We start from the raw sequence: 5,350 nt of genomic DNA, 5'->3' as shown, positions 1-5,350 counted from the left end.
GAGAGACTCCTGGACACCCTGGAGAGCCGGAGATCACCATGACAACAAGGGCGGTGCTGGATGGGTGGGCGGTGGGCGGGGCTATGGAGGCCCGGGGGCGGAGCCTGAGCCCTGGGTGGGGCTGACCGTGGAGAGATTCGCGCAGGTTCTGGTGATCAGCTCGGCTGGGAGAGGTTGGGCGGTTATGGCATAAGAGCTCCTGATGTGGTATTGATGTTTAATTGGAGTCAAGCACCCTGCAGCTGCAGAAGATAGACCTGCCTACCATCTACTGACCTTAGTCTGCATAGTTCTGAATCCAGTGCTGTCTGAATATCATATGCCTGGCTTCTAGAGCTCACGGTACAAAATTAATTTCCTTAATAAAAAGCTGACCTGAGTCAGTGATTTCCTCTGAACTAGTTTCGGTTTGGAAAGTTAGCTGTTTTGGGCTAGATGGCCTCTTGTGGCCCTTATAAAACCGTGGAACCAGCTTCGAAGTCCGGGGTTCAGTTTGAGAACCTACTTAATTCAGCTCCTTAACTTTTCTGCATCACAATATGGAAGCCTTGGTACACAGATCTAACTCAGTCATCTTCAATTCAAAGCTAAGTGTGCTGGAGGCTGGTGTTTGATGTCTTTTTTTTTTTTTTTTAAAGAGATGGAGTCTTGCTATGTTGTCCAGGCTGGACTCGAACTCCTAGGCTCAAGGAATCCTCCCGCCTCAGCCTCCCCAGTCCTTGGGACTACAGGCAAGGGCCACCACACCTGGCTCTGTTTAATGTCTTTTAGTGAGTTTCACTGCTAAGGTTGAGGCTTAGGGGGTGAACTTAGGTGAGTTGTTCCACCTTCCGCACCTCAGTTTACTCAACTATAAAATAAACGCAACTATCTATTTCAATGGATCACCTGAGATGGTGAAAGTGCTTTTATACTGTAAAGCTTGATTCAAGTCCATTAACTATTCATTTGTCCTACATGTACTGAAAGCTTCCTGGTATATGCCTAGCACTGGGGAGACAAGGAAAGAGAACGGACATGGTGTCCACCCTCAGGGAAATTGGAGTCCACTGCGGGAAGCAGAGAAGTAAATAGAGAATTAGGGGAAGGGAGTGTGCCAATGGGATTTAGGAGAAGGGAAGATTAAGCTGTGGGGTCACTTACTAATTTGGATTTGGGGATTTGGCAGGAGCTAGAGATCACCCTGAACTCCTCCTTTAGCTGTTTTTTTTTTTTTTTTTTTTTTTTTTTTGAGATGGAGTCTCACTCTGTCGCCCAGGCTGGAGTGCAGTAGTGTGATCTCGGCTCACTGCAATCTCCGCCTCCCGGCTCAAGCGATTCTCCTGCCTCAGCCTCCCGAGTAGCTGGGACCACAGGTGCGCACCAACCATGCTTGGCTAATTTTTAAATTTTTTTAGTAGAGATGGGGTTTTGCCATGTGTGCCAGGCTGGTTTTGAACTCCTGGCCTCATGTGATCCGCCGGCCTTGGCTTCCCAAAGTGTTGGGATTACAGGCGTAAGCCAGCACACCTGGCCCCAATCCTCCTTTAGCTCTTAAGTGGGCTCTTTGCCTAGATCTAGAAACCAAACTGACACTGGGCAGATTAGCAAGAGAAAAGCATACAAGTGTTATTAGTTTTACATGCGCATGGGGATCTTTACCAGAGTGAAGTCTAGAGAAGTGGCCAAAGCAAGATGCTTTTATACTTTTTAGACAAAGGATGACAAATTTGAGAAGAAATGGCAGGACAAAGGGGATCTGGCTAGGGCAGTAAATTCTAGGGGATTCACTAGGAGATAATATGAGGGGCATAAACTTAGTGGAAGACAGGGTTAAGTATATTTATTCAGGTCCATTGCAGTCCCCAATTCTTAGTCTCAGGTGACAAGGGCTATTTTCTTGCCCTGGTACAGTGAGGGTACCGCTCCTAGAGGAATCTTTATGGCTTGCTGAATGCAGAAAGAAGCATATCTGTTTGCCTTTTCTTGTATCTTTTTTTAAAATTATATCTATTTATTTATTTATTTATTTATTTATTTATTTATTTATTTTAGAGTTGAGGTCTCACTCTGTCACCCAGGCTGGGGTGTAGTAGTGTGATCATATCTCACTGTAACCTCAAACTCTTGGGCTCAAGCAACCCTCCCCCTTCAGCCTCCCAAAGTGCTAGGATTACAGGTATGAGCCACTGCACCTGGCCCAGTTAGCCCTTTCTGAGGCCACTATTTTTCCAATGTTGTCCACTCAAAATGGTCAATATACCAATCCAGCATATTTTGGGATGGCCCATACTTCACTCCTTCAGGGAGAAGGAAGGTTTCATGGAAGAAGTGTTCACCAAGTTGCATCCTGAAGGATAAAGAGGTAATAATTAGTGTTACAGAGCGCTCAGGCTTCATGAGCGAGGTGGCATTTGAGGGGTTAAGAGAGAGTCTGGCATGGCTGGAGGAGGCCATCACCCAGGGACTGGAGCACTAGGCTAGGAGTTTGGACTCAGCCCTGAGACTAGTGGGGAGCCATGGAGGGTTTTATGCAGGTGGTGGCTGGGTCTGGCTTGCTTTTGAGAACAGCTACGCTGGCCAGCAGTGTGTTGGGTCCACTGCAGAGGCTAACCTTTGTCATTACCAGGCGGTCAGCCTGAAGAGCAAGGGGCATGGGCAGGGCTAGGCAGTCTTGAGATCAGGCCTATGTAATTTGGGGGAAACTGGCTGAGCGCAGTGGCTCACGCCTGTAATCCTAGCATTTTGGGAGGCCGAGGCGGGTGGATCATCTGAGGTCAGGAGTTCGAGACCAGCCTGGCCAACATGGCGAAACCCTGTCTCTACTAAAAATACAAAAATTAGCTGGGTGTGATGGCGGCCGCCTATAATCCCAGCTACTTGGGAGGCTTAGGCAGGAGAATCACTTGCACCCGGGTTGGGTGCGGTGGCGCGGAGTGGAGCGGAGGTTGCAGTGAGTCAAGATCGCGCCACTGCACTCCAGCCTGCGTGAAAGAGCGAAACTCCGTCAAAAAAAAAAATTGGGAGAAACGACTGAACTTCTCTGAGGTTCTTGTCTCTAAACTAGATGTTACCACCTTATGAATTTACTCTGAGGATCAGAGGCATGCAAAGTACCCAGTACAGAGAAGGGCGTAAATAAGTCACTTCCTTTCCCTTCTGTACTTTGAACAAAGCTGAGCTGCCTTTGGTCTCCACAGCAACCCTGTAAATGATTGTTCCCGCTTTGCAGCCGGCCGCAGCCTTGGGCTGTTTGCGCCTGCGCAGTGGGTGCTGATTATGTCGACCGCGGCGCCGCGGACGCTGCTGGAGTCGCCTGGCAACGATGTCGCCTGGCAACTGAATAGGTTGGCCAGTGGCGCGGGCTACTGGAAGCAGAAAGGGCTGCGGAGGCAGGTGAGGCGGCGGTGGTGGGCTAGGGGCCCGGGGACAGGGGGGCCCAGTGACCCACCCAGTCCCATTCACACGGGGCCGTGTCCCCACACTCAAAATCACGGTCTTTTGTCTCCGGCCGGACTCTCCCAGCCCACGCCGCTTAGAAGAAGGCAGGCCCCTGTCTCCAGCACCCACCGTTCCTGTGAGGGGAGCTCAACTCAAACATGGCCACGTCCCTCCCAGTCCGGCCCCCACTTCTACCGTTGTCATCTGGTGTCCCGCGTGAGCATCTGGCTTACCTTTTACTGGAGTAGATTCCTACAGGCCTGTGGCCTGTCCATTCTACTAACCATGATAATAACCGTAATAATAACCACAGCCAACATAGCTGAAGCCCTGGTATGCCAGGCTTACGTGTATTCGTTAATATGACAACTCTGGGAGGCAGGGAAGGAGGTACTGTTATCATCTCCCCTTTGAAGCTGCAGAAAGACACAGATAGAGGAAGTAACTTGCCAAGGTCACCCAGGCCTGAATCTGGAGCCAGTTCTTAACTACTAACCTACACTGCCCATAGTTGCTGAAAGTGTGTGTGTGTGTCGGCAATAAAAGTTAATCACTTTTTTTTTTTTTTTTTTTTTTGAGACGGAGTCTTGCTTTGTCGCCAGGCTGGAGTGCAGTGGCGCGATCTTGGCTTACTGGAACCTCCGCCTCCCTGATTCAAGCGATTCTCCTGCCTCAGCCTCCCGAGTAGCTGGGACTACAGGCATGCGCCATCACGCCCAGCTAATTTTTGTATTTTTAGTAGAGACGGGGTTTCACCATGTTGGCCAGGATGGTCTCGATCTCTTGACCTTGTGATCCGCCTGCCTCGGGCCTCCCAAAGTGCTGGGATTACAGGCGTGAGCCACTGCGCGTGGCCATAAATCACCTTTTAACATTAATTCCTTTTCATGGATGTGTCAGAAGCATCTGAATATGGGTTCCTGGCAGTGAATGAGCTAGACCCAGATTTGAACACTGGCTTCTAGTCTTACCAGTTTCATGGCCTCCAGTAAGCTCCTTGGCCAGAACCTCAGTTTCCTCATTTGTAAAATGTGGATAATACCAGCCCCCTCCTTATGGGGTAGTTGAATTGGATACTACTTATTGCTGGCACAAGGTAAGCACTAAACAGAGTGACCAACTTGGAGTTTGCTTGTTTGGTTTGTTTTGTCCTTTAATGCCTTTGACTGAAGATCCAGATGAAAGTATCAGTGGTTTCTTCTGTGAAGCACTATTGTGTGGGAGGGCTCTGGAGTTTGCAGTTTGGGCTGCTACTTACTTACCTTCACTGGGACTTTGAGCAAATCTCTTCATTGCTCTCAGCCTCAGTTTGCTCATCTGTAAAATGAAAGTAAAAATACCCATTTGCCTGCCCTCACAGTTTGGAGGATCAGATGAGAAGTAGCTTTTAAATCATAATAGAAATAATGACAGCTTTTTGGTCTCTTTTAGTGAGTGGTTTCTGCAGAGCTTCATTTGGAAAGGCCTCTGTAGTTGGGGAAAGATGGCCCATTCCCAGAACTCCTTGGAGCTTCCCATTAACATCAATGCCACCCAGATTACCACTGCCTATGGCCATCGGGCCCTGCCCAAGCTGAAGGAGGAGCTGCAGTCAGAGGACCTCCAGACGAGGCAGAAAGCCCTCATGGCCTTGTGTGACCTCATGCATGACCCCGAGTGTATCTACAAGGCCATGAACATAGGTGAGCGTGACACAGCACAGGTGACCATGACTGGGGTCCTAGCATGGCTTCAGGCACTGGGTAGAACTTCAGTAATAAGGGTTGCTATTGTTTGAGCCTGACTCCAGGCCAGTTCCACTATAGGTGCGGTGCCCGGGTTCTTTTTAAAAAATGTTTATTTATTGAGGGAGGGTCTTGCCATCTCCCAGACTAGAGTGCAGTGGCAGAATCATAGCTCACTGTAACCTTGAAATCTTGGGGTCAAGAGA

General features: G+C 49.2%; 1 protein-coding gene across 7 annotated transcripts in view, besides 2 other annotated features; it reads left to right on the top strand.

Annotated features, from left to right (window-relative positions):
• The window catches only part of RSPH14 (radial spoke head 14 homolog), a 121,315-nt gene that overhangs the window by 35,406 nt on the left and 80,559 nt on the right, over nt 1-5,350 (top strand). For 3 of the 7 annotated variants that reach the window (NM_014433.3, XM_011530150.2, XM_011530149.3), the window contains exons 1-2: nt 3,334-3,375; nt 4,852-5,102. In NM_014433.3, coding sequence (NP_055248.1) covers nt 4,904-5,102 — 199 coding nt within the window. In that variant the 5' untranslated portion in view covers nt 3,334-3,375; nt 4,852-4,903. Of the gene's footprint in view, nt 1-3,333; nt 3,376-3,396; nt 3,637-4,206; nt 4,517-4,851; nt 5,103-5,123; nt 5,226-5,350 lie in introns of those variants that run through there. The other 4 variants (XM_011530152.3, XM_011530151.3, XM_017028774.2 and 1 more) reach the window with 4 other exon arrangements.
• Nucleotides 25-94: a silencer, noted in NCBI's record as "silent region_13532". NCBI's record gives its function as "represses an Ori minimal core promoter by ATAC-STARR-seq in GM12878 lymphoblastoid cells {active_cell/tissue: GM12878}" and the evidence as "EXISTENCE:reporter gene assay evidence [ECO:0000049][PMID:35858748]".
• Nucleotides 3,148-4,040: an enhancer, noted in NCBI's record as "H3K4me1 hESC enhancer chr22:23483471-23484363 (GRCh37/hg19 assembly coordinates)". NCBI's record gives its function as "activates a minimal SCP1, AML or CMV promoter by ChIP-STARR-seq in primed H9 embryonic stem cells {active_cell/tissue: H9 hESC(primed)}" and the evidence as "EXISTENCE:reporter gene assay evidence [ECO:0000049][PMID:30033119]".

Source organism: Homo sapiens, chromosome 22 (assembly GCF_000001405.40).
Source record: "Homo sapiens chromosome 22, GRCh38.p14 Primary Assembly".
Lineage (NCBI taxonomy): Eukaryota > Metazoa > Chordata > Mammalia > Primates > Hominidae > Homo > Homo sapiens.
Note: the sequence above shows the minus strand (reverse complement) of the source record. Positions and strands in the feature narration are given on the sequence as shown.